At 51.4% G+C, this 27,021-nt stretch overlaps 1 protein-coding gene across 4 annotated transcripts, besides 6 other annotated features; it reads right to left on the bottom strand.

Annotated features, from left to right (window-relative positions):
- Nucleotides 182–231: an enhancer, noted in NCBI's record as "active region_19881". NCBI's record gives its function as "activates an Ori minimal core promoter by ATAC-STARR-seq in GM12878 lymphoblastoid cells {active_cell/tissue: GM12878}" and the evidence as "EXISTENCE:reporter gene assay evidence [ECO:0000049][PMID:35858748]".
- Nucleotides 220–892: an enhancer, noted in NCBI's record as "H3K4me1 hESC enhancer chr3:49941679-49942351 (GRCh37/hg19 assembly coordinates)". NCBI's record gives its function as "activates a minimal SCP1, AML or CMV promoter by ChIP-STARR-seq in naive and primed H9 embryonic stem cells {active_cell/tissue: H9 hESC(naive and primed)}" and the evidence as "EXISTENCE:reporter gene assay evidence [ECO:0000049][PMID:30033119]".
- Nucleotides 1,867–2,026: an enhancer, noted in NCBI's record as "active region_19882". NCBI's record gives its function as "activates an Ori minimal core promoter by ATAC-STARR-seq in GM12878 lymphoblastoid cells {active_cell/tissue: GM12878}" and the evidence as "EXISTENCE:reporter gene assay evidence [ECO:0000049][PMID:35858748]".
- Nucleotides 2,177–2,376: an enhancer, noted in NCBI's record as "active region_19883". NCBI's record gives its function as "activates an Ori minimal core promoter by ATAC-STARR-seq in GM12878 lymphoblastoid cells {active_cell/tissue: GM12878}" and the evidence as "EXISTENCE:reporter gene assay evidence [ECO:0000049][PMID:35858748]".
- On the bottom strand, nucleotides 4,847–25,785 carry MON1A (MON1 vesicular trafficking associated A). Of its 4 annotated transcripts, none has more exons than NM_032355.4 (6): nucleotides 25,583–25,785; nucleotides 9,194–9,333; nucleotides 7,500–7,985; nucleotides 6,093–6,858; nucleotides 5,227–5,374; nucleotides 4,847–5,128 (listed from the first exon to the last, which is right to left on the bottom strand). In NM_032355.4, exons 2-6 carry the CDS (start codon nucleotides 9,318–9,320, stop codon nucleotides 4,988–4,990), a joined length of 1,668 nt encoding a protein of 555 aa, NP_115731.3. In that variant the 5' UTR covers nucleotides 9,321–9,333; nucleotides 25,583–25,785; the 3' UTR covers nucleotides 4,847–4,987. The 4 variants fall into 4 exon arrangements, with proteins under 4 accessions (NP_115731.3, XP_006713408.1, XP_011532462.1 ...); XM_006713345.5 differs by lacking the exon at nucleotides 25,583–25,785 and adding an exon at nucleotides 25,343–25,509; XM_011534160.2 differs by lacking the exon at nucleotides 25,583–25,785 and adding an exon at nucleotides 25,256–25,308.
- Nucleotides 7,688–8,265: an enhancer, noted in NCBI's record as "H3K4me1 hESC enhancer chr3:49949147-49949724 (GRCh37/hg19 assembly coordinates)". NCBI's record gives its function as "activates a minimal SCP1, AML or CMV promoter by ChIP-STARR-seq in primed H9 embryonic stem cells {active_cell/tissue: H9 hESC(primed)}" and the evidence as "EXISTENCE:reporter gene assay evidence [ECO:0000049][PMID:30033119]".
- Nucleotides 25,492–25,841: a silencer, noted in NCBI's record as "silent region_14377". NCBI's record gives its function as "represses an Ori minimal core promoter by ATAC-STARR-seq in GM12878 lymphoblastoid cells {active_cell/tissue: GM12878}" and the evidence as "EXISTENCE:reporter gene assay evidence [ECO:0000049][PMID:35858748]".

Raw genomic sequence — 27,021 nt, forward strand, 5'->3', positions numbered from 1 at the left:
GGCGTCTTGGCGCCTTTTTCTCAGCGGCCTGTGGGTGGATGTGCATGGTGTGGCCTGGAGAGAGGTGAGCCAGTCTGAGCCGTCCCATCCCATCCCCCCACTACCGACTGGTTCGCAGCGAGAAGGGGGGCAGGACACTGGGCTCTTTGCTTGCGGTGGAACTAGTTTGCACTTAGTAGCAACACCCTCAGTGGCTGGTGCCCAGAGGTGGCCTGGGGGCCCACCATGTGGAGAACAGAGACCAGGATTGTGTGGAAGACCAGAGGGGAGATGTGGGGCACTTACAAGAGATGTTATGGGGCGCCACCCTTTGTGGGAAAGGACTGTCCTTTTTTTTTTTTGAGAAGGAGTCTTGCTCTGTGGCCCAAGCTGGATTGCAGTGGCGCGATCTCGGCTCACTGCAAACTCCGCCTCCCAGGTTCAAGCGATTCTCCAGCCTCAACCTCCTCCTGTCTCAACCTCCTGAATAGCTGGGATTACAGGCGCGCACCACCACACCCGGCTAATTTTGTATTTTTAGTAGAGACAGGATTCACAGTGTTGGCCAGGCTGGTCTCAAACTCCTGACCTCAGGTGATCCGCCCGCCTCAGCCTCCCAAACTGTTGGGATTACAGGCGTAAGCCACCGCGCCCGGCCGGGACCATTCTTCCATGTGCTTCTCCTGAGCTATCAGCGACAAGATGGTGTCAGAGGAAGGTGTGTTATGCCCTGCTCTCCCAGGGCCATAAGGGTCTTAGGATGGGATCTGGCCTTGCTGACTGGACCTCAGAGTCAGAGAGGCACGTAAGTGGAGGCCCATACCTCCTCTGCAGCCTCAGTATATGGAAGCTGTATAATGGGGTCCACAGTATGGGCCTTGGGGACTCCCCCTTCCTTCCTGGCTCTACCCAGTGCCCCCCTGATATGGAGGAATCATGGGCTTTGGCTCTCAGGACACTTCCAACATGCTCTGTAGGCCTTGCTGGATCTTATTCTCTTCAATGAGAATGTAGTTCTGGGCTGGGCACCGTGGCTCATGCCTGTAATCCTAGCACTCCTTTGAGGGGCCAAGGCAGGAGGATTGCTTGAGGTTAGGAGTTCAAGACCAGCCTGGGCAACATAACAAAACTCAACAAAACAAAAAAACTGCTAAAAATGTTTTTAAAATAAAATATGTGACCGGGCGTGGTGGCTCACGCCTGTAATCCCAGCACTTTGGGAGGCCGAGGCGGGTGGATCGCTTGAGGTCAGGAGTTCAAGACCAACATGGTGAACAGACAGATCTGGCCAACATGGTGAAACTATCTCCACTAAAAACAAAAATTAGCCGGGCGTGGTGGTGGGTGCCTGTAATCCCAGCTACTAGGGAGGCTGAGGCAGGAGAATAGCTTGAATTTAGGGGGTGGAGGTTGCAGTGAGCTGAGATTGTGCCACTGCACTCCAGCCTGGGTGACAGAGCGAGACTCCATCTCCAAAAAAAGAAAAAGAAAACGTAGTTCCGACTAGGTGATTTCCCAGAGTTCTCTCTTCTGTTTATGAGGAGTGGGGGTGGGGGAGCCTAGTCCCACACTTGGATCTCAGCAGCTGCCCCTTGGTAACTGGTCCCCCAACACTAGACTGAGGCCCCTGGGGGACAACCTTAGCCTGACAGACCCCTCAGTTAGATAGGCCTGGACCCTAGAAGACAGGGAAGGTCCACAGGGTGGGTCTGGGCTGTGAACTATGGGCCCCAAGGCTGTAGATAAGGAGGCTGGGGGAGAGAGGAGCCCTCAGCCCAACAGGATTTAGCCTGGCTTGGGGAGCTATATCTCCTCACTCCCCTTTCAGTTCATACTTCTGTGCCTGCATCCCCTTCCTAACCTGACCTTTGTAAGTGCTGTTCCTCCTTCCAGGAGCACTCTTTCCCTTTTCTCCTTTTGCCACCTAAATGGCACCTCCTCCAGGAAGCCTTTTTGATCCAGACTTTGCCAGTCCCCTCTCCTGGGTCTCACAGACCCAGTGCTACACTCACCCCAGCACAGTTTACTCTGGATACTTCACTTCCTCCATCCCCAGTGCAGGACTCCCCCTCCTTCCAGCCTGGAGCTCCATGAGCACCTGAAGACTGAAAGAGGAAATGGAAGTGGGGGCGGCCACACCCAGTGCAGGGTTGATACTGTGCCCTGAGGTGACATAAAAGACACTCCTTTTCCAAAGCAGAATTGGCCAGGAAATGAATAAACACCCGGAGAAAACCGTGGCGTGGTTCCTGCATTCCACAGTCAACACATCTAAAGATAGGCAAGGCAAAACTAAAATGAAACATTCTCAGCCTGGCGCACAGACAGGGGTTCTGGTGACCCAAATCCCACCTCCAGACTTTCAGAGGGATCTCTGGTGGTTGGGAGAAGACTTCACAAGCCCTCTTAGATCACCCCACCCACCCCTTTTTGGGGGTGGTGTTGCGGCAACCATCCGTTAGTTCTCCGCTGCCACCGTGTGGCCGCGCTAATGGCTGTCCCCAGGCTGAGGTCCCCTGTAAGGCAGCCTTGGTTCTCAACAGCAGGGGTACACAGGAGCACCCCTTCCCCCTCTCGCCATCTGCCGCCTCTATAGGAGGGGGCAGTCAAGGTGTGTGGGGGAGGTCAGCTAATGGGACTCTTAAGTGCCAAGTACAAGGGCACCCCCAAGCTAACATAGCTGGCTAAGAACCTGCTCGACTGCCCTAGCACCTGACGCCTTGAAGGAATACTAGCCACTTTTCCCTCCTTGAGCTCTCAGTCCCCTCTGAACACTGTTCTAGAGAACTAGGTCTAACCTCTTTCTCTAATCCCAAGATCACCTTAGCAGTAGCAAGGGAGTCTCTCTAACTGTAATATGACCACATCACACTGCAGGTTACCTGGAGTTTGAGAACCCCAGCCCTTGTGTGGACCACTCCAGCTTCACTGCAAACAAGTTATATTAGGTTCTTTTTTTTTTTTTTTTTTTGAGACGGAGTCTCACTGTGTCGCCCAGGCTAGAGTGCAGTGGCGCAGTCTCGGCTCACTACAACCTCTGCCTCCTGGGTTCAAGCGATTCTCCTGCCTCAGCCTCCTGAGTAGCTGGGACTACAGGCGCACGCCACCATACTCAGCTAATTTTCGTATTTTTAGTAGAGACAGGGTTTCACCATGTTGGCCAGGCTGGTCTGGAACTCCTGACTTCCAGTGATATACAATCCTTGGCTTCCCAAAGTGTTGGGATTACAGGCGTGAGCCACCATGCCCGGCCTGTACTAGGTTCTTACCAGGTCCTTCCCTTTGCACATGCTGGCTCTTCCACTACGAACACCTTCCCTATTTGTCTGTCTTCCCACCCCTGATCTCCAAGCAGGTACACCCCACACTCCTAGGTGCCTATAGTCCTAGGTATACACATTTATCCAACTATGATCTCCCCAGAATATATGCTGAACTACACAGAAGCTGAGAAACCTACAAGAGTCAGGGCAACCAAAAGAGGCACTTAGGGGCTCACTGTTGACCAGAATGCCAGTAACAATCAGGGACAGCTGGCTTGGCATCACCCAGGCCCCAGAGGCAGTGGTTTGGTGTTCTTACTAGGAGCAGGGGAGGAACAAAAGCAGAAAACAGGCATAAAAGAGACCCAGGGCATGTGTGCAGGGTGAACAGCACCCACCAAGCCTATGGCTGCTCCCCGGAGGCTTTGGAATCTGGGCTGGTAGCCTGCTGCCATGCCCATTCCAATGTGAGCCACAGTGGGGCCAAGGGCAGGGGCTGTGCTGCCATTTTCTGGGACAATAAATACAACTGTTCCAGTGTACCCTGGGTCCATGTCACCCACACAGGCTCATTCTTCAATATGGCTTGATTTTAGTAGCAGAAAATATTGGCTCAACTCTCAGAAACTGCATGAGGGTGATTCTCTCTGACAGTCTGAAGACCACATTCAGAGGACAGTTTTCTCCAATAAGTACTTCCTAGGCCTTGTGTTCCCTGGGGCCAGAACTAGAAGATCCCCCGGCAGCAAAGTGGAAGCTCTCTGCATTGTGCCCTGGGTCCTGTGGTAGAGTAAATGGGGCTGGGCTTTCACTGCCGAGCCTCCTGGATGTCCATGGTGCCCCATGCAGGTCTGCCTATGCCATGCCAGGGACTAGGGTGACTAAGGAGGGCCGAGTGCACGTAGCAGTATTAGCTCTTATTATGGCAGGCCCACTTCTGCCTTAGAGGGTCAACTGGGCCTTCTCTCAGACCCTCAGCTCACTCTTGAGGACCATTTGGAGGAATGCACTGGCTGAGGTAGGAGAACTGAGGCATACAGCCCTTCATGGGAAGGCCTGAGCAGGGACAGTTTCCTCAGAGGCCTGCAGCTAAAGGGAGACTGGATTCTGAATTTCAGCTGAAGACTGGGTTGCCTCACCAGGGGCTCCATCCAGTACCAGGGCTCAGACTCCCCCCATTTTGACCATCTGTATCTTACTCAACTCAGCTTCTGCTGAACTACAGCAACCCATTAAACAGAGCCACAGCGAGGGCTCTGAAGGTGGTTGAGTAGTCTTTTGTGGCATGCAGCAGGGGGCCCCTCCCAGGAGTGATAAGAGAGGCAGACAGCAGAAGCTCAGACTGAATATGGGGGTGGGGGTAGGGTAGGGCAGTATGGTGCCTGAGAACTTTTTATATATGGTAGGACTTCAACTAAACCAAAACGGCCCCAGCCCAAGATCCAGCTGAGAATGTGTGTGGCCTCATGCTGGTGCAAGGGAGGGAGGAGAGGGGCTCAAATGTGCCTGTGTCCCTGTGCAGGAGCTACGGAGGAGGATCCAGTGTCTGTATGTGAGTGAGGGTGGATGGGCGAAGGGACAAGTGACAGAGCTTGACAAGTGTCTTCCCCAAAGCACTTTAATGCATTCACCAACCCACAGTCCCTGCCCGCTGGCTGGGCAAGAGAGGCCAGCCCCCATCTGGAGGCTCCTATGGCTTCCCACACCTAGTGTGTCCAGGAAGGCTGAGCCCGCACACATTCCCATCAATAGGTGAGGGGCGTGAGAATGAAGAGGCGGTCTTCCTCTTTGCGGATCCAGCGCATCAGCTTATGGATGGCACTGACGGCTGACGCCTTGGTCCCCAGGGGGCTGTAACACATGTAGAGCTCAAAGGCGCCTGTCACCTGGAGAAGGGGCAAAGGGTCGTCATCTAGGTTAGAGGCCCCTCATGGCCCATACCTAGGACCTCCATAAAGCCCAGCCCATCCCAGGGCTGCCTTACCCAGGCCAGGAGGTTCTCGTTGGGGCCCGTGTAGTAAATGGTCTTGAGTGGGCGAGAGGCATTGTGGGCACGACTGTGCAAGTACTGGTAGAGGCCCAGCAGCCGCTCCTGCTCCTCTTCACTGGTGTATGGGGCCTCAATCTCAGGGCTGCAGACAGGGTGGAGGGAGTGGGTTTGCAAAGGAATGACTTCCACTGTCTTCTCTAGAGATTTAGAAACACCTATTCCTATCCAGGAAGACTCTATCTTATGTCCTACCCTCCAGGTGCTCCCTTAGGACAGGGCATTGTCTCCCCACCATAGCAGGCACCCCAGGACAGGGCTGGGCCCACTGAGACTAGAGCTATGTCCCCTCTTACCCCCTAAGCTCATAGTGTCTTTGGTGACCCCTCTTTGGAGAGGCCAGGTTGAGTTTAGATGTCCAAGACAGAGTGACAGATCTGGAGTAGAGGAAAGGTGAGCTAGGAATCCTGTGGGCCAAAAGGGACAAAGGGAGGCCATATCTTCCCAGCCCCTCTGCTGGGGGAGGGGGTGGAGGAGGGCTGTGCTTCCTGAGCTGGACCAAAATGACCCCTAAAGTAGAGTTGCTCCAGGGCAAGGGACCCCGGAGACCTCTGTTCCAGTTTCCTTCTCTGGGTATATTGGGCATTTCCAGGCCTTCTGGTTAATAAAGTAGAGAGGGTATGCTCATGGGGTGATGGAGAGTCTGGGTCTCTGGTGCCAGAGTAAAACAGGCCCAGCACACTGGTCTGCTTCCAAAGGTAGGGACAGCTTCAGGGCTACATCTCAGAGCTCAGGACCAAACAGCCTCCCGACTCCACATGTCCCTGTCCCGCTACAGCAGTGCCCTCAAGGCCCTCCCTCACCTGGTGAAGAGTCCCGAGCTCTTTGACTTATAGAGGAAGTGACGCAGGTCAGGGATGCCCACTTGGGCAACGCTGTAGTAGGGTGTGCGCAGTGCCTCTCGCAGGGCCAGGTGGGCTCCGCGCTTGCGAAGGCGCTCCTGGAAGCGGCGGCGGCAGTCAGAGACTGCAAAGAAGTCCTCACGGTCAGTGGAGACAAGCAGCAGGCAGAGGTCAGTGTCAGGCTCTAGGTAAGAGATGTGTGCGTGGAAGAAGCCGGCTGCGTTGAATTTGGGCAGGCACACGGGCGTCCAGGCCTCGCCCTCGCGAAAGGACGAGGAGGAACTAATGAGGTTGAAGAGCAGGTGCAGGTCGATGGGGTGCAGAAATTGGTCCTTTCGGCGCACGAGTGCCACGAGCTGGTTGCGGGCCAGCAGGATGGAGAAGACCAGGCTGCGCGCACGCGCCTGCTGCAGGCTGGCGCTCACAGTGTCGCGCACGGCCGCCGCCAGGGGCAGGCACCGTGCCGCCCCCATCAGGAAGCTGGGGTCTCGTGCCATGAGCTGCAGCAGGTTGTCGGTGATGCGCTCTGAGCCCGAGAGTAGGCGCCGCAAATCATAGTTCTGCTTCTGCTGGAAGATGTGGCTCAGCTGCGCACCGGTAAGAAGGCTTAGGATCTGGTAGTAGATGTAGAGCAGCTCCTGCGCCAGCTCTTGTGCCGACTGCCGCGTACGAGCCACCGCCACTAGCACCAGCGGGCTCCGGCGCACGAATACTACCTTGTAGCCATCTGAGAGCGGGACAGGAAAGAAGGATGTCAGCCTCAGCGGCAGCTCCCTCCGAAAACCGCCTTCCAGCGCAGCTCTTCGCTTTCCCCATCCTTTCCTCGCTCAGAGCTCTGCGCACAGTAGGGGTTTAAGGATGTTCAGGATAAAAACCCATTGCTCCTTCTCCCTGAGGGCTCAGGGCCTATCCCTGCCACTTGCTTCAAAGACTAGCTCCCTCTGAAACACACATTCTTATGCTAAGTGCTAAGTCAACTGGCAACTGGCAAGGGCTGGCTGGGTGGAGCTCAGGACCTGGGAGATAGATAGATTAGATAGATAGATAGATAGATAGATAGATAGATAGATAGATAGATAGATAGATAGAGTTTGTTGTTGTTGTTGTTGTTGCCTCCCCAGGGGGATTCTCACTCTCTCCAAAGGCAAAGCCCATGTCAGAGGCAACTTTGGTCCTCGCCGCAGCCCCATGAGGCCAGCAGTGTTGTTATCTTCTGTTCAGGTGAGGACCTTGAAGCTCAGAGAGGTAGAGGGACTTACCCTCAGTCACACAGCACATCCCAGCCCTCTGGTCTGCAGGGGTCCAAAACCTGCTATGAATGAACCTTGGCCAGGGGAGCCCGCCCCATTCCCTCTCCAGGTGGCTCACCTGCATGGATGGAGCGGATGGCGTTCTTGTCTGCCTCCAGGAAGGACACCAGGGCCACCATAACACCCATAGTGCTGGAAAGTGCCTCCTCAGACCCATAGCGGGAGTACACAGGCTTCCCTGCCTCACTCAGCACAAAGACATGCTTCTGGTGCAGGCGCCATGCCTCCGTGGCATCCTCCTCATCCCCCTCGGTTGTGCCCTCCCTGGGGGGCTCTGTGGCTGGTCGCCCAACTGCCCCTGGGGGTTCCAGCCAATCCTCAGAGCTTCCTGGCAGCATCTCCTCCTGCAGGTCCCGGGCCACACCCGTCAGCTGGGTGCTTAGCTCGCTAAAGTCCTGGCTGATCTGGCGCATGTCTGTAGGCAGCGGCGGGGGACCCCTGGTACCCTCCTTGTGGCTGTCCCCAGAAGCTGCCCCATCCTCTGACTCAGTCAGGTCCTCGTAGGAACGGGCATGGACGAACATGGCACCCTCCTGGCCCGCACCTGCAGGCCAAAAGCACTGGTGCTTAGAGGGGTAGCTAGTGGCAGACACTCCTACCAGCAAGGTGCCTAACGTGGTCACTCCAGCATGACTGCCTGTCTTGTTAGGATCAAGCCACTGTTCCCTTCTGCCACTGTCTGCCATGGATGATGCTTCTCTGCAACTTACAGCCCACCAGTCTCCTCTCATCGTACTGGAAAGAAGACCCAAACCACTCATGGCAGCAGTGGTGGCTGGTATCTGCCTACCTCTCATTCCCATCTCCCACCCCACTCCCTTGCCCATCTTGGTCACACTGGCCTACATCCATCTGCTCTCAGATACTTTCAACACACCCCCACCTGCCTCAGGAGCTCCACACCTGCTGTCAGCTGTCTCCTACCTCCCCAAGAGGCCGGCTAATTGTCACACTTAAGCTCTCAGGGAAGATGTTAGTTACTGACCTCCAACCCCAGGCACTCTATATATCCCTTTTTGATTTCTCTTGTGGCACTTGCCAGTTATTGTCCTTCTCCCCAACTACAATGGTACCCAGTAAGGTGCCGGAACGCAGCACCTCACCCTGTGTCTGGAGCACTGCCCATACTCAATGAATCTCTCTCTCTGGGAGAAAGCTCCCCTACCCTACTCAGGCCATAGCTCCTGACTGACCCCACTATAATGGCGCCGCAGCCTGTGACTGCCTCAGGGCAGGGACCAGGTCAGTCTTCCTTTATTGATTTTTTGACAAAATAGTTTAACAGATATATTTTGAGTCTCTCTTGCGAATTCAGCCCTGTACCAGGCACTGGGGATATAACTGCTCTGCGCTCAAAGTGTTCACAATCTTGTGGAAGAGAGAGATGGGCAATATATGCATAAAGAGATAAAATTATGAAATAATTAGTGTGCTATACAGAGCATGGTCAGAGCAGGCCTAACTCGTGAGGAGGGGAGAAGGAGCCGGGGAGGTGCGCTGTAGACACAGGGAACAGAAGAGCCCACAATGGCAGCCAGAAAGCTCAGGGCGAGCAGCATAACATGAAGTGGAGAGGAAAGCCAGATGCAGAATGAGCCTGGCCTCCTGCCTTATCCCCAGAACCTGACAAATATCCAATGAGTGACTGACAAATGCATGAATAAGTGGAAAGGAAAAAGTGGTTGGGAATCCTAATTCCCCCTGGAGACTGCTCTGGTTGGCAGCTGGCTGAGGCTGTACACTTGCCCATACCTGGCTCCATTCCCTGGGCCATTCCTGGTGTGGGGCTCTCAGCTCTCTCCATACTCTGTCCATCAGAAGGAGTCAATGTGCCATCAAGGCATTCGCTGCTTCTCTTCCTCTGCATGTCAGTAGCCATCCTTTGAGCTCTCCTGTGGGGCAAACAAATGCAACATCGATGGCTTTTGGCAGGGTCACAGGCATAATCAACAGTGGTAGTAAGTACAGGAAAGTGTCCTTTATCAGGACTCCACTAACTCAAATCTCTAGAAAATGGATTCTGAGAATTCCTTTCAAAAAAATATATACTGTTCCTTTTCTGATTATAAAAGGAAGACATATTCATTGTAAAAAAAAGACTTGGAAAGCACAGAAAAGTAGAAAGAAATATCAAGATTTTCCTACCATTCAGGATCTTTCACTGTTCATACGTTAGTGTATTTCCTTCTAGTATTTTTTTTTTTTTTTTTTTTGAGACAGTGTCTCGCTCTGCCGCCCAGGCTGGAGTGCAGTGGCATAATTTCGGCTCACTGCAGCCTCCCCCTCCGGGGTTCAAGCAATACTCGTGCCTCAGCCTCCCAAGTAGCTGGGACTACAGGTGGGCACCATCATGCCTGGCTAATTTTTGTATTTTTTGGTATAGACGGGGTTTCACCATGTTGGCCAGGCTGGTCTTGAACTCCTGACCTCAAGTGATCTGCCCCTCTCGGCAGATTGTTGTTGTTGTTGTTGTTGAGACAGGGTCTCACTCTGTTGCCAAGGCTGGAGTGCAATGGCACCAACACAGCTCACTGCAGCCTTGACTTGGGCTCAAGCAGTCCTCCCATCTCAGCCTTCCCAGTAGCACATGCCACAGCCAGCTAATTTTCTTTTCTTCTTCTTCTTTTTTTTTTTTTTTTTGAGACGGAGTTTCGCTGTTGTTACCCTGGCTGGAGTGCAATGGCGTAATCTCGGCTCACCGCAACCTCCACCTCCCAGGTTCAAGAGATTCTCCTGCCTCAGCCTCCCGGGGTAGCTGGGATTACAGGCATGCACCTGGCTAATTTTGTATTTTTAGTAGAGACGGGGTTTCTCTGTGTTGGTCAGGCTGCTCTCGAACTCCCGACCTCAAGTGATCCGCCTGCCTCGGCCTCCCAAAATGCTGGGATTACAGGTGTGAGCCACCGTGCCCCACCTTTCTTTTCTGAAACAGGTCTGGCTCTCTTGCCCAGGCTGGAGAGCAGTGGCGTGATCTTGGCTCACTGCAACCTCTGCCTCCTGGGCTTAAGCCATCCTCCCACCTCAGCCTCCTGAATAGCTGGGACTACAAGCACATGCCACTGCGCCTGCCTAATTTTTTTTTTTTTTTTTTTTTTTTTGAGATGGAGTCTTGCTCTCTCACCCAGTCTGGAGTGCAGTGGTGCGATCTCAGCTCACTGCAACCTCCACCTCCTGGGTTCAAGCAATTCTCCTGCCTCAGCCTTGCAAGTAGCTGGGATTACAGGCACCTGCCAGCACATCCAGCTAATTTTTATATTTTTAGTAGAGACAAGGTTTCACCATCTTGGCTAGGTTGGTCTTGAACTCCTGACCTTGTGATCCGCCTGCCTTGGCCTCCCAAAGTGCTGGGATTACTGGTGTGAGCCACTGCGCCCGCCTAATTTTTGTATTTTTTATAGAGACAAGGTCTTTTCATGTTGCCCTGGCTGGTCTCAAACTACTAGGCTCAAGCAATCCTCCCACTTCAGCCTCCCAAAATGTTGGAATTACAGGCATGAGCCACCATGCCCAGCCTGGTCTTTTAGAAAATGTACATAAAATGTAAATAATTAAACAAACTGATAGCAGCAGCTAACAGTTATTCAGTGTCAGCGTATCATGCTAAGAGGTTTCTGTGGATTAAGTTACCTAATCTTGATCACGCCTCTATGAGGCATGTGTTCCTGTCAGGCTAGCTTTATAGATGAAAGAACTGATACTGAGAGAGCTTAAGGAGCTTGCCCAATGTTACTACAGGAAAGAAGTGCTGGATTTGGATCTGGGAGTTGAAACAACTCTGTATCCTGTATCCAGTGGCTCACTCCTGTAATCTTAGCAAAGATTGGAGGCCAAAGAGGGAGGATCACTTGAGCTCAGTAGTTCACTAGCTGGGGCAACAAAGTGAGACCCTGTCTCTACAAAAAATTTTAAAAACTAGCCAGGCATGGTGGCATGTGCCTGTAATCCCAGCTACTAGAGAGACTAACATGAGAGGATCACATAAACCCAGCAAGTCAAGGCTGCAGTAAGCTGTGACTACAACACTGCACTCCAGTTTAGGCAACAGAGTGAGACCCTGTCTCAAAAAACTAAAACTAAAAATAAATAAAAATAAAAATTAACTAAGTTGACCAATAGTTCTTTTTGGATATCTAGGTGTTTGCAGATAAAAAAGTGAGACACAGGCAACAGGCTTGTCTTCAGGCTGCAGCCCTGCTTTTCTCTAAATATCCTTTTGTACCTTTTGAATTTGGCACAAGGAGTTGTCTTAACAATTAAAAACAACTATAGACATGTCAACTCTCAGTGCCCATGTAATGGCCAGGATAGATTCAGCCGGATCTCCTTGTCCTTCCACAGCCCCAGGCCCAGGTGGAGGTGGCCACAAGTGAATGTCAGTGGTAACAGAGCTAGCTGGGTGGCTCACCGAGGCTGGTAGCAAGGCTTATTTGGCCTCTAGGGTCCTTCAATGGCAGGCTGAAGGATCCTCACTTGTCAGGCAACATACAGTTCACCCAAGAGGGGATCCATTCCAGGTACCAATCCTTTAAGAAAGAGGGATCTAGCTGGATGGACTAGAAGGGCAGAGACTCATGGAGCAAACACTGCAGGCAGGCCAGGGGCCCAGGAGGCACTGGTGTTAGTGTGAGCAAAGTAGACCTGAGCCTGCATCCCAGAACACAGAGTCTGGTGGGAATAACTGAGCTCTTGTCCCCTCCTAGCTGTGTAACCTTGGGCAAATGACTCTTCCCTGGAAGCATGGCATAAAGTAGGTGTTCAAAAAAGTTCATGAAAAGGGTGGTCCCAAACAGATAGCATCACCATCAGTAGCATTTGTGTGGCATCAGCCAGTCTGTGTCCAAGAACATTCTCTCTGGACCTGGCATAGCTCCAGTCAGGCAGCTCCTATGTGTGTGCCCAAAGAACTAATTTTCAACCTCTTCTTTTTGTCACCTTTAAGCTATGTAATTCTTTCTTTAATTGAATCTTTTGCAGAAGCTCCACGTGCAAACAGATAGGGAAGCAGAGCCTGTATCCTGACAGCTGGCCTGGTGGCCACTCCTGCACTGAGCCTGAAGGACCGCAGAGCACATGGAGGGTTGGGCACCACTGCCAACAGCATCACCCCACACAGAATAAAACCAAAGAAAGAAGGTTGGGGAGATAATCTGGGGATTTTCTAGGCCCCCAGTCCCATCCATCAGGACAATCAAGAGTAATGGTTCCCAGCAAGAGTCAGAGCCCAGAAGGAAAAGGCGCAGGCTGCCTTGTCAGACAGTGGGCCAGAGGAACTAAGAGGCTGCATGCCCTCAACAGGAACCTGCGGTAGCATCCACAGAGGTCCCCTCTGAGACTGAGACTAAGAGGAGCAATCCAAAACAACCACCACAACACCACAAGGCCCAGGATGCTGAATGCCAAGGAAACTAGGGCATGTCTAAGTCTTGCGCAAGAACACACAGGCCACGTAAATCTCATAGACCAGTAATTCCAAAGCTATCCTAAAAGCCAGAGTGGGCTCTGAGAGATGAGTCTGCCCAAGTGCAGGCCAAGAGTAAGCTGCTCCTGACAGTACCAGGGTTGTGGCCAGGGCTTCCAGGCCTATCTGGGCTCAAGCGATCCTCCTACCTCAGCCTCCTGAGTCGCTGGGAACACAGGCGTGAGCCACCATGCGTGGATAATTTTTGTATTTTTTGGTAGAATTAGGGTTTTGCCATGTTGCTCAGGCTGGTCTCCAATACCTGGGCTCAAGCAATCTGCCTGCCTTGGCCTCCCACAGTCCTGGGATTACAGCTGTGAGCCAGCACCCGGCCTGGAATGCCCTACATTTCTTTTCTTTTCTTTTCTTTTCTTCTTTGAGACGGAGTCTGGCTCTGTCGCCCAGGCTGGAGTGCAGTGGCGCTATCTTGGCTCACTGCAAGCTCTGCCTCCCCAGTTTATGCCATTCTCCTGCCTCAGCATCCCGAGTAGCTGGGACTATAGGCGCCCGCCACCACGCCCAGCTAATTTCTTTTTGTATTTTTAGTAGAGACGGGGTTTCACTGTGTTAGCCAGGATGGTCTCGATCTCCTGACCTGGTGATCCACCCGCCTCAGCCTCCCAAAGTGCTGGGATTACAGGCGTAAGCCACCACGCCTGGCCGGAATGCCCTACATTTCTATGTCTCCTCACTTTCCTACTCCTCTAGTCAACTTCACACCTTTTCTCTCTTCAAACATCCATCATCTCCTTCCCTGATGGTCATACTCAGCACTATCAGCAAATGACCTTGCCTTCCATTTCACCGAGAAGACAGAAGTCGTTAGAAGAGAACTTCCGGGGCGAGTGTGGTGGCTCACGCCTGTAATCCCAGCACTTTGGGAAGCCGAGGCGGGCAGATCACCTGAGGTCGGGAGTTTGAGAACAGCCTGACCAACATGAAGAAACCCTGTCTCTACTAAAAATACAAAAAATTAGCCAGGCATGGTAGAGCATGCTTATAATCCCAGCTACTCAGGAGGCTGAGGCAGGTCAATCACTTGAACCCGGGAGGCGGAAGTTGTGGTGAGCCGAGATTACACTCCAGCCCAGGCAACAAAACCAAAATTGCGTCTCAAAAAAAACAAGAAGGCCAGGCGCGGTGGCACACACCTGTAATCCCAGCACTTTGGGAAGCCAAAGTGGGTGGATCACCTGAGGTCAGGAGTTCGCAACCAGCCTGACTAACATGGTGAAACCCCATCTCTACTAAATAAAAAAAAATTAGCCAGGTGTGGTGGCACGTGCTTGTAATCCAAGCTACTTGGGAGGCTGAGACAGAAGAATTGCTTGTACCTGGGAGGCAGAGGTTGCAGTGAGCCGAGATCATGCCACTGCACTCCAGCCTGGGCAACAAGAGCGAAACTCTGTCTCAAAAAAAAAGAACAAAAAAAAAGAACTTCCGGAGATTACCACCACGAGCTTACCTCATCTGCCAGAATAGGCCTTCCCTCTTTTTTTTTTTTGAGACAGAGTCTCACTCTGTGGCCCAGACTGGAGTGCAGGAGCACGATCTTGGCTCACCAAAACCTCCACCTCCCAGATTCAAGCGATTCTCCTGCCTCAGCCTCCCAGGTAGCTGGGATTACAAGCACCCACCACTTCGCCCGGATAATGTTTGTATTTTTAGTAGAGACGGGGTTTTACCATGTTGGCCAGGCTGGTCTCAAACTCCTGACCTCAAATGATCCACCCGCCTCAGTCCCCCAAAGTGCTGGGATTACAGGCATGAGCCACCGTGCCTGGCCCCCTCTTCTTACTAAAGATGAGCTGTTCATGCTCCATAGAGGCTAACTCCTCCATGTGTACACCAGAGCCCAGCCCCTCTCACCTACTCAGGTACATGGCTTCAGCAGCTGTCCCTCCTCATCAGTTTCCCCTTCTCCCTTATCCATTACCAATATGGTGATATTTCTTGTCTTCAAAACCCCCTCCCAGCAGGGCTTGGTGGCTCATGCCTGTCATCCTAGTACTTTGGGAGGCCTAGGTGGGCAAACCACTTGAGCCTAGGAGTTTGAGACCAGCTTAGGCAACATGGTAAAACCCCATCTCTACAAAAAGTACAAAAGATTAACCAGGTGTGGTGGCATGCACCTACAGTCCCAGCTACTTGGGAAGCTGAAGTGGGAGAATCACCTGATCCCAGGAGGTCCAGGCTGCAGTGAGTGGTGATCACACCACTGCACTCCAGCCTGGGTAAAGGGAGTGAGATCCTGTCTCAAAAACAAAAACCAAACAATTTTGGGGGTGTTCGCTTTGTAATAATTCACTGGGCTATACTTATGATTTGTGAACTTTTCTATATGTTTGTTTTACTTCAAAGTTAAAACAAAACAAACTTCCCCTTAACTCTACATTCCCCACTAGCTATCAACCCATTTTTCTGTTGCCCTTTATAAAAAAACAAACAAACCCCCTCAAAATGGCAAATAATATTTGGAGTTTGCATTAGTCAGGTAGGCTAGACTATTCTGTGTAAAAAATGGATGCCAAATGCTACAGGTTTTACACCCAAAGATCTTTTTTTATTTTTTGAGACGGAGTCTCACTCTGTCACCCAGGCTGGAGTGCAGCAGCGCCATCTCCGCTCACTGCAACCTCTGACTCCTGGGTTCAAGCGATGCTCCTCCCTCAGCCTCCCGAGCAGCTGGGATTACAGACGCCCACCACCACACCTGGCTAATTTTTGTATTTTTAGTAGAGACGGGGTTTCACTATGTTGGCCAGGCTGGTCTCAGGTGATCCTGACCTCAGGTGATCCGCCCACCTTCACGGATCCAAAGTGCTGGGAGTACAGGCATGAGCCACCGCACCCAGCCCCAAAGACCTATTTTTTGCTCACATAAAATCTACTGTGGGACTGGTAGCAATTCAGAGTAGCTCCCTTCCAAGCAGTGATTCAGGAATCCAAGCCACTAGCACCCTATAGAAGCCATTCGGAACACATGCCTTCCACATCACCTGGCAAGGGAAGACAGAGATGGAGGATCATGTACCAGCTCTTAAATACTTCGTAGCTCACATTGGCCAGAACCAGTGATGTGGCCAGAGGGACTGGGAAATATATGGAGCTCACGGATATCTGGAAAGCAGGAATTGTCTCTGCCGTAGCCTCTCCATTTCTCCCATTCTCTCTAAACCAGTTCTGAACAGAATCTCACCTCCATTACTCCATCAACACTGCTCCCATCAAGGTCACCAACGACCTCCAGGATCATCTTACTTCACCCATAAACAATAGATAATTTGGTTATTTCCTCTCTCTTGAAACATTTTCTCCTCTTTTATGGCATACCACTCCTTTCTTGGCTCTCTTCTGACCTCATGGACTACTCCTTCTGAGTCCTTTTTGCAGTTCTTACTGTAAAGGGGCACAGAATTCAGTCTTTGGACCTCTTCTCTGTCTTCACTCAATCCCTTGGTGATCTCATTTGGTCTCATAGTTTTAAATTCCCTCTACATATTAATACTTTTTTTTAATCTCCAGCCCCAATATCTTTTCTGACTTAAAGAGGCACACACATTTAACTGTCTACTTCATGTTATCTCAAGGTTATATGCCTCAAACTGAACTCCTTAAAAAGGCCATCTCCTGGCCAGGCGTGGTGGCTCTCACCTGTAATCCCAGCACTTTGGGAGGCCGAGGAGGGTGGATCACGAGGTCAGAAGTTTGAGACCAGCCTGGCTAACCTGGTGAAACCCCATCTTTACTAAAAATATGAAAATTAGCTGGGTGTGGTGGCACACGCCTGTAATCCCAGCTACTCAGGAGGCTGAGGCAGGAGAATTGTTTGAATGTGGGAGGCGGAGGTTGCAGTGAGCCAAGATCGTGCCACTGCACTCTAGCCTGGGTAGCAGAGCCAGATTCTGCATCAAAAAAAAAAAAGGTCATCTCCTTAAAAAGTTGCTCCTAGCTGGGTATGGTGGCTTACACCTGTAATCCTAGCACTTTGGGAGGCCAAAGCAAGCAGATTACTTGAGCCCAGGAGTTCAAGACCAGCCTGGGCAATATGGCAAACCCTGCCTCTACAAAAATACAAAAATTAGCCAGGCGTGGTGGCACGTGTCTGTGGTCCCAGTTACTCAGGAGGCTAAGGTGGGAGGATCACAGGAACCCGGGAGGTAGAGCTTGCAATGAGCCAAGATCGTGCCACTGCACTCCAGCCTCGGCAATAAGAGTGAGACCCTGTCTCCTTTTTTTTTTCTTTTTTTGAGATGGAGTCTCGCTCTGTCGCCTGGACTGGAGTGCAGTGGCGCGATCTCAGCTCACTGCAAGCTCCACCTCCTGGGTTCATGCCATTCTCTTGTCTCAGCCTCACGAGTAGCTGGGACTACAGACGCCTGCCACCACACCCGGCTAATTTTTTGTATTTTTTAGTAGAGACGAGGTTTCACCGTGTTAGCCAAGATGGTCTCAACCTCCTGACCTCATGATCCGCCTGCCTCAGCCTCCCAAAGTGCTGGGATTACAGGCCTGAGCCACCACGCCTGGCTGGTAGAGAACCTGTCTTTAAAAAGAAAAAAAGGCCGGGTGCAGTGGCTCACGCCTGTAATCCCAGCACTTTGGGAGGCTGAGGTGGGCGGATCACCAGGTCAGGATATCGAGACCACTCTGGCTAACACGGGAAACCCATCTCTACCAAAAATACAAAAAATTAGCCGGGCGTGGTAGCACTTTTTTTTTTTTTTTTTTAAGAGATGGGGTCTTGCTCTGTCACCAAGTCTGGAGTGCAGTGGCTATTCACAGGTGTAATCACCACCCCACCATGCACTACAGCCTCAAATTCCTGGGCTCAAGTGAACTTCCTGCCTCAGCCTCCCGAGTAGCAGGGACTACAGGCACTTACCACTTCTCCCAGAGTTTTCACCATCTCAGTAAAAGACAATTTCATGGCTGGGCATAGTGGCTCATGCCTGTAATCCCAGCACTTTGGGAGGCCGAGGTGGGTGGATCACCTGAAGTCAGGAGTTCAAGACCAGCCTGGCCAACATGGTGAAACCCCATCTCTACTAAAAATACAAAATTAGCCAAGTGTGGTGGTGCATGCCTGTAATCCCAGCTACTTGGGAGGCTGAGGCAGGAGAATCACTTGAACCCATGAGGCAGAGGTTGCAGTGAGCCACGATCACGCCATTGCACTCCAGCCTGGGCAATAAGAGCAAAGCTCTGTCTCAAAAAAAAAAAAAGAAAGAAAGAAAGACGGCCGGGAGCAGTGGCTCACGCCTATAATCCCAGCACTTTGGGAGGCCGAGGTGGGCAGATCACAAGGTCAGGAGATCGAAACCATCCTGGCTAACACAGTGAAACCCCGTCTCTATTAAAAATAAAAAAATTAGCCAGGTGTGGTGGCATATGCCTGTAATCCCAGCTACCCCGGGAGGCTGAGGCAGGAGAATCGCTTGAACCTGGGAGGCAGAGTTGAGATCGCACCACCGCACTCCAGCTTGAACCCAGGAGGCGGAGGTTGAGATCGTGCCACCACACTCCACCCTGGGTGACAGAGCGAGACTCTGTAAAGGGAGGAAGGAAGGAAGGAAGGAGGGAAGGAGGGAGGGAGAGAAGGAAGGAGGGAGGGAGGGAGGGAGGGAAAGAAGGAGGGAAGGAAGGAGGGAAGGAAGGAAAGAAGGAAGGAAGCAAGGAAGGGGAAGGAGGGAAAGGAAGGAAAGGAAGAAAGGAAGGAAAAGAAGAAAGGAAAGAAGCCAGGAAAGAAGGAAAGAACGAAAGAAAAAAAGACAATTTCTTTTTTTTTTTTTTGAGACAGTCTTGCTCTGTTGCCCAGGCTGGAGTGCAATGGCGCGATCTCAGCTCACCGCAACAGTGCGATCTCAGCTCCACCTCCTGGGTTCAGGCAATTCTCGTGCCTCAGCCTCCTAAGTAGCTGGGACTACAGGCGTGTGCCACCACACAGGCTAATTTTTGTATTTTTAGTAGAGACAGGGTTTCACCATGTTAGCCAGGCTGGTCTCAAACCCCTGACCTGGTGATCCGCCTGCCTTGGCCTCCCAAAGTGCTGGGATTACAGGTGTGAGCCACCACACCTGGCCAAGAAAGACAATCTCATCCTTTCAGTTGTTTGGTGAAAAACCGTGGAGTCAGCCGGGCACGGTTTCTCACACTTTGTAATCCCAGCACTTTGGGAGGCCGAGGCAGGCAGATCATGAGGTCAGGCGATCGAGACCATGCTGGCTAACACGGTGAAACCCCATCTCTATGAAAAATACAAAAAATTAGCCGGGTGTGGTGGCGCATGCCTGTAATTCCAGCTACCCCGGGAGGCTGAGGCAGGAGAATCCCTTGAACCCGGGAGGTGGAGGTTGAGATCGCGCCACCGCACTCCACCCTGGGTGACACAGCGAGACTCTGGGAGGGAAGGAAGGGAGGGAGGGAGGGAGGGAAGGGAGGAAGGAAGGAAGGGGAAGGAGGGGAAGGAGGGAAAGGAAGGAAAGGAAGAAAGGAAGGAAAGAAAGAAAGAAAGGAAGGGAAGAACGAAAGAAAGACAAGCTCTTTTTTTTTTTTTTTTGAGACAGTCTTGCTCTGTTGCCTAGGCTGGAGTGCAACAGCGCAATCTCAGCTCCACCTCCCAGGTTCAAGCGATTCTCATGCCTCAGCCTCCCGAGTAGCTGGGACTACAGGCGTGTGCCACCACATTGGCTAATTTTTGTATTTTTAGTAGAGACAGGGTTTCACCATGTTGGCCAGGCTAGTCTCAAACCCCTGACCTTGTGATCTGCCCACCTTGGCCTCCCAAAGTGCTGGGATTACAGGTGTGAGCCACCTCACCTGGCCAAGAAAGACAATCTCATTCTTTCAGTTGTTTGGTGAAAAACCTTGGAGTCGGCCGGGCACGGTTTCTCACACCTGTAATCCCAGCACTTTGGGAGGCCGACGCAGGCAGATCATGAGGTCAGGAGATCGAGACCTTGCTGGCTAACACGGTGAAACCCTGTCTCTACTAAAAATACAAAAAATTAGCCGGGCATGGTGGCACGTGCCTGTAGTTCCAGCTACTCAGGAAGCTGAGACAGGAGAATTGCTTGAACTGGAGAGGCAGAGGTTGCAGTGAGCCAAAATCGTGTCGTTGTACTCCAGGCTGGGTGGCAGAGCGAGACTCTGTCTCATAGGAAAAAAAAAAAACAAAAAACCTTGGAGTCATCCCTTACGCCTCTCTTTTTTTCCCCACACCTCATATACCAAACCATCAGCAAATCCTGTTAGCTCTATTTCAGAATACAGGCACATCCAGCAAAATGTCTCTAGTTAACATTTTCACCATAGAATGCCTTTTTGTTTTTAATATCCAGCTTGGTTGTCAGCCTTCAAGATGGTCTCTAGTAATCCTCAACTCCTGCTATGCGACTTTGCATACTCCCTTTCCACACTGAGCAGGGCTGACCTATGCAACCAATAGGACACTGTGTAAATAACAATGTGTGGCTGGGGACAGTGGCTTATGCCTGTAATCCCAGCACTTTGGGAGGCCAGGATGGGCTGATCACTTGAGGTCAGGAGTTTGAGACCAGCCTGGACAACATGGTGAAACCCCATCTCTACTAAAAATACAAAAATTACCTAGGTGTCATGACGGGCGCCTGTAATCCCAACTGCTTGGGAGGCTAAGGTATGAGAATCACTTGAACCCGGGGGGAGGCAGAGGTTGCAGTGAGCTGAGATCGCACTGCTGCACTCCAGCTTGGGTGCCAGAGCAGACCCTGTCTCAAAAAAAAATGAAAAAACAATGTGTGACTTCTGAGGCTAGGTCATAAAAGACATTGTGGCTTCTGCCTTGTTCTCTTGGATCATTCCCTCTAGGGAAAGCCATCAGCCATGTTGTAAGGACATGTAAGCAGCTCTATGGAGAGAACTTCATGGCAAGGGACTGAGACCTCCTGTGAACAGCCAGTACCAACTTGCTAGTCATGAGTGAGTCATCTCGGAAGCAGATCATCTAGGCCCAGTCAAACCTTCAGATGACTTCAACGTAATAAGAGACCCTGAGCTTGAGCCATCCAGCTAAGCCACTCCCAAATTCTTGACCCACAAGAACTGTATGAGATAATAAATATTGTTGTTTTAAGCTGCTAAGTTTTGGCATAATTTGTTACACAGCAATAGTTAACTAATATACCAAACTTATGTTGATTCAGCTTATGTTTATTTATTTATCTATTGAGACAGGGTCTCACTCTGCCACCCAGGCCGAAGTGCAATAGTGTGATCATGGTTCACTGTAGCCTCAACCTCCCAGGCCCAAGTGATCCTCCCACCTCAGCCTCCCAAGTAGCTGGGACCACAGGCATGTGCCACCATGCCTGGCTAATTTTTTAATTTTTTGTAGAGACAGGGTCTCCTTATGTTGCCCAAGCTGCTCTCAAACTCCTTGACTCAAGTGATCTGCCTGCCTCAGCCTCTCAAAGTACTGGGATTACAGGTGTGAGCCACCACACCTGGCCCAGTGTATGTTTATACAGAAAATATGTATATTTACATCATTAAAATCTTATCTATATTTTTAACAAAGTAATGTGCATTTAAAGCTTCAAATTATATTCCAAATAGAACTGATAGAAAATTACTGAGTGCCAGCCTGGCTGACATAGTGAGACCCTGTCTCTACAAAATAAAAAATCAGCTGGGTGGGGCAGCTCATGCCTGTAGTCCCACCTACTTAAGAGGCTGAGGTGGGAGGATCGCTTGAGTACAGGAGGTCAAGGCTGCAGTGAGCCGTGATTGTGCCACTGTACTCCAGCCTGGGCAACACAGCAAGACCCTGTCTCAATCAATCAATCAATGGAAAATATATTAAGTTGAAGATTTCACACAGAATGTCCAATTTTCATGAAACAGATTACTGATGTTAAGTGGGAAATGCCTATATCCAGAATCTGACCACTTGTCACCTCCACAGCTACCACTGTGGTCAAAGCCACCAGTGTCTCTCTAGGAGATTGTTGCAGTAATCTCCTATCTAGTCTCCCCTCTTTTGCCCTTGTCCCTGCATAATCTGTGCTTCTTACAGCAAAGTGATTCTCTTGATACAGAACTCAGGTCATGCAGTTCCTCTGCTCACAACTCTGTAATGGTCCCACCTTACTCAGTGAGAAAGCCAATTTCCTCACAGTGGTGCACAAGGCCCCACTCAACATAACTCCTTCCCCATTACTTCTTTGACCTCATCTCTTATCCTTTTTCCCCACTAACTGTGATTCAGCCCAGCCATAGTGGCCTCCTGGCTTTCCTTAAGCCTCCTGGGCACTCTTTAACTTTAGAACTTTGCCGTTGCTGAACTTTCCCCCTGCACCCCACTTCACCTACTCCATTGCCTGGGCTAGTTATCTATGTGACTCAGTCCCTCACTCCCTTCAGGTTGCTGCTCAAGCATTACCTTATCAATATCCCTGCTCCTTACCCCTCTTGCCCTGCTTTATTTCTCTGGATTGAAGGTTACCCTGTGACCTACCACAAATTTCAGTATGGCTTTAAGCCACATGCGGGAGGAGTTCTATTTTTTTTGAGACAGAATCTCACTCTGTCACCCAGGCTGGAGTGCAGTGATGCAATCACAGCTAACTGTAGCCCTGGCCTCTCAGGCTCAAATGATCCTTCCACCTCAGCCTCCTGAGTACCTGAGACTACAGGCACGTGCCACCACGCCTGGCTAATTTTTTAATTTTTATTTTTGTAGAGATGGGGTCTCAGTATGTTGTCCAGGCTGTTCTCAAACTCCTGAACTGAAGATCCTCCCTCCTAGGGCTCCCAAAGTGCTGGGATTACAGGTGTGAGCCACCACATCCAGCCAACAGACATCTTTGGGAGGGAGATTTTTTTTTTTTTTGAGATGGAGTCTCATTCTGTCGCCCAGGCTGGAGTGCAGTGGCATGATCTTGGCTCACTGCAACCTCTGCCTCCTGGGTTCAAGCAATTCTTGTGCCTCAGCCTCCCGAGTAGCTGGGATTACAGGTGTGTACCACCATGCCCATCCAATTTTTGTATTTTTAGTAGAGATGGGGTTTCATCATGTTGGCCAGGCTGGTCCCAAACTCCTGACCTCAGGTGATCCACCGGCCTCGGCCTCCCAAAGTGCTGGGATTACAGGCATGAGCCACCGCGCCCAGCTGAACTTGTGTTTTTATCCCTCAGGCAATTAAAAAAGAAAAATGGAAGGGAAAACTGAAAGATCTCTGAAGAATGCCCAGCTCTGTCACACCTGTGATGTGGCCTCTGGAAACCCCTGCCTGTGGGGAAGACTTATCACTGGTACTACTCAGGTGTTCAGGAACAATGGCTCCGAAGTTAGAGGGACCTGGATTAACCTGGCCTGGTCTCAGTTTTCTCATTTATAAAATGGGATAGTAGTATTGATTCCTTGGGTTGTGGGAAGATTAAATGAAATAATCCATGTAATTTGATTACATACTCAGTTGCTCCCATTAGCACATCCTGATTATTCTTACTTAGCATTCAGTCCATGTGTGACTGCACTTATAATACCACATGAATCCAGTGGTCTGTGCCATGTAAATCGGGCCTCTGAGATTTTGCTCAGCCTACAGTGGCATATGGGCAAATACGCTTCTGACCTTGCAAAGCCAGGTGGGCCCTAGCCTGAAGCGACTCACCTTCAGGCTAGGGCTATCATATAGACAGTTGGGAGTCAGGTCAAAGAGCTGTCTTATAGACAGCTGGGAGTTCCTCCAGGCTAACTGGTTGTTCACTGGCTCTGGAGTTGCAGGAATAGACAACGGGCTCTCTGCTGCTCTTGGAAGTATCTCCTAAATTAAACTCCTTAATTAGCCAGGTATGGTGGCAGGCGCCTATAATCCCAGCTACTCAGGAGGCTGAGGCAGGAGAATCACTTGAACCCAGGGGGCAGAGGTTGCAGTGAGCTGATATCGCGCCATTGCACTCCAGCCTGGGCAAAAGATTGAAACTCTGTCTCAAAAAAAAAAACAACAAAAAAAAACAAAAAACTCCTTGGTCTGCCACATGCCACTGCTCTGTGACGTTGCACTTTTGGTTCAAAGACCCAAACAAGGTCTACAATAGCTTACTTATTCTGTCCTCAGGGCCCACTCTCCACTGATCCCTTGTGGGCTTTAGCTGACTAAGCCCAGTGTGGCTGAGTGGTACCCAGCACGGTACCTGCATGGGGAAGGGTTGGCGGGGGCCAGATCAGCTGGCCAGAGCTAGTGGATGCTTCCTTCACAATAGTTCTCCTGCCACCTGAGATCATACAGTATCTCAGCATCTCCTAGGTCAGTCTGGGGTCCAGCCAGAGGCCTGATGAAGCAAACAGCTCTCTGAATACTTACTCTGGAAACTCAGACAGGGAGGCTGAGTGAATCACAGCAAAATCCACCCCAACCCCCATTGGAGCCACAACTGTGCAACTGAAGCTCCTGGGAGGCTAGAATTGAAGAAGTTAGGCAAAGGAGGTCTCTTAGAACCAGCCCCAGATGCCCCTTCTCAGGGAACCCTTCTCAGACAACCCCTCTAGAAGCCCCAGGCCTTGCTTTTCCTAGAAGTGCCCTGCTATGCCTGTGAGCAATGTCACCAAACAAGTTGGCTCAATCAGCCCTTGTAGTGTGCCTCTCTCACTCAGGCAGCCTTGGAGCAGAGAAGGCCTTCAGAAGCCCCTCCCTACTGACTCCCTACCACTCCTGCTCCCTCTTCTTGCTTGGATAGCACTTCATTTCACCTTAACCCTTTGGAGCGGCCTGTCTGGAAAGGAGGTGCCAGGATACAGGATGTGTGGCAGACAAGGCCCAGGTGAGGCTGTGCTATGGCTGCTTCAGCAGGATGCCTACTCCATGCTGAGATCACAGTCTGGTCCTTGTCACTTCTGGCGGTTACTTCCCTCCCTGACAAAGGGTGCTCACTCTCCCTCTGCAAACTTGTGCCCAGAAAGGGTGGCTCACCCAGTACAAGGGACAACCCAGTTGCACCAGGCAAACTGGTGCAAAGTCCGGCCAGGCGCAGTGGCTCATGCCTGTAATCCCAGCACTTTGGGAAGCTGAGGCAGGCAGATCACCTGAGGTCAGGAGTTCAAGACGAGCCTGGCCAACATGGTGAAACCCCGTCTCTACTAAAAAAATACAAAAATACAAAAAATTAGCTGGGCGTGGTGGCGCATGCCTGTAATCCCAGCTACTCGGGAGGCTGAGGCAGGAGAATCGCTTGAACCTGGGAGGCGGAGGTTGCAGAGAGCTGAGATCACACCACTGCACTCCAGACTGGGCAACAAGAGTGAAACTCCGTCTAAAAACAACAAAGCAAAGACCCAAGCCCCTTCCAGGTGCTGCCCCGCTCATCCCAGTTACCTCTGTTGCTTTTTGAGAAGACTCTACCGGCCGAATATGTGTACGTTTGTTGGCGGGGCGGGGGTGGGGGAGTGGGGAGAGTCCTACCTGGCCACTGCCCCCTACCGGATCTCGCCCTCCCAGCCAAAGGATGGGTTCCAGATCTCGCCTTTTGTATTCCCCAGCTGGGGACTAGCCGGCTGAGGGACCGCAGGGAGACACAGTCTTCCCATTGCAAACGATAGCGTTGATGGCTGGAGGCCCCCGTCTTCAAGCCCCTCCCTCCAAAGATGACAGCTCTCCAGTCTCTAGGTGCCTCCAGGCCACGTGGGCTGGCAGTCAACTCACCTGTTTCTCAGAGGAGTCCAGGACGCACAGAAGGTGCCGGTCACTGCCCTCTGCCGGACCCATGGAGGGGTAAGGGTGTCCGGCCGGGGCCGGCCTGAGGGCACAGCTTCGCGGGGCCCCGGCCCCCTGCGTACACAGACATGGCCACAGCGCAGGCACCGCTCCCTCCCACCGCCCTCACCCGGCCGCCGGTGCAGGAAGATAGCTTTCGCCGGCCTCTCGCGGCCAAGGCCCAGCTCCAGCCGCTCAGCCCGACTCGGCCCGCCCCCGGGGTGCATTGTGGGAAATGTAGTCCTTAGCGTTTGGCCGCCTGCGGCGCCGAGGGACTGGTTCTGGGCTCCTAGTCCCAGCAGAGCCGTGGGCAGGTCCTGACCCGGGTCCGCGATTGCCTCATCCGGCGCCGCCTTCTAGGGGCCTGGGCGCCTCCTCCGAGTCTAGAGTCCCACACAGAACAGCCCTGGACTCTGGGCCTCTCCGTCCGAGCCAGCTAGCAGTTCATTTCAAGTGAGAGAAAGGGACGTTAGGATTGTTTCTCCCACTGATTGTGGAAGGACAGTGCAAGTTTGGGGGACTGGATAAATGTCATTAGTGGGCCCAGCCACACAGGCTGTAAAGGATGTGGGCATGCGCAAAAGTCGCACTAATTGTTTCTAAAAACATATTTGTAGCCACGTTTTAATGTATCAGTATAATGCTCTAGAACGGTAGTTCTCAACTCTGACGGCACATAGAATAAGCCGGGAAGCTTTAAAAAAAAAAAAAAAGAACTAGGACGGGCGAGGCGGCTCACGCCTGTAATCCCAACACTTGGGAGACCGAGGTGGGCGGATCACTTGAGGTCAGGAGTTCCAGACCAGCCTGGCCAACATGGTGAAACCCCATCTCTACTAAAAATACAAAAACTAGCCAGGCTTGATGGCGTGTGCCTGTAGTCCCAGATACTCGGGAGGCTGAAGTGGGATTCCAGGAGGTCGAGGTTGCTGTGAGCCATGATCATGCCCTGCACTCCAGCCTGAGCACCAGAGCGAGACCCTGTCTCAAAAACAACAACAAAAAAACTAATGCCTGGACACCAGCCCTAGAGATTTTGATTTAATTGAATTTAGAGTAGGGTGGAGTGTTGGGGAGCCAGGCATCACTATTGTTTTAAAAGCTCCCCAGGTGATTTACCATTGCAAAGAATCATTGTTTGTAATTTCCTAGACGCAAAGCAATAAAAACAACAGGAAAACAGTCAACAACAGGCTCTCCCAAAAGACCCTTATTTTTAGAGATGGTTTTAAAAAGTAAAATTAGTGTTTGGCACCACTGCTCATGTTCTTTTCTGAAGCAATTAATTCACTTTACAGCCTTATGGTTAATTCTCCCAAAAGTTAATAGGATGAAAAAAAAAGTCAGATCACTCCTCTGACTTTCCCTGCTGCTCCACAAGCACCTGG

This window comes from Homo sapiens, chromosome 3 (assembly GCF_000001405.40).
Source record: "Homo sapiens chromosome 3, GRCh38.p14 Primary Assembly".
Lineage (NCBI taxonomy): Eukaryota > Metazoa > Chordata > Mammalia > Primates > Hominidae > Homo > Homo sapiens.

Coding starts and splice junctions, on each gene's coding strand:
- MON1A (NM_032355.4), bottom strand. CDS start 9,320: ATGGCTACTGACATGCAGAGGAAGAGAAGCAGCGAATGCCTTGATGGC. Junction 6,859..7,499: donor CATCCGCTCCATCCATGCAG/GTGAGCCACCTG, acceptor TCCCGCTCTCAG/ATGGCTACAAGGTAGTATTC. Junction 5,375..6,092: donor AGCTCGGGACTCTTCACCAG/GTGAGGGAGGGC, acceptor CCCTGTCTGCAG/CCCTGAGATTGAGGCCCCAT.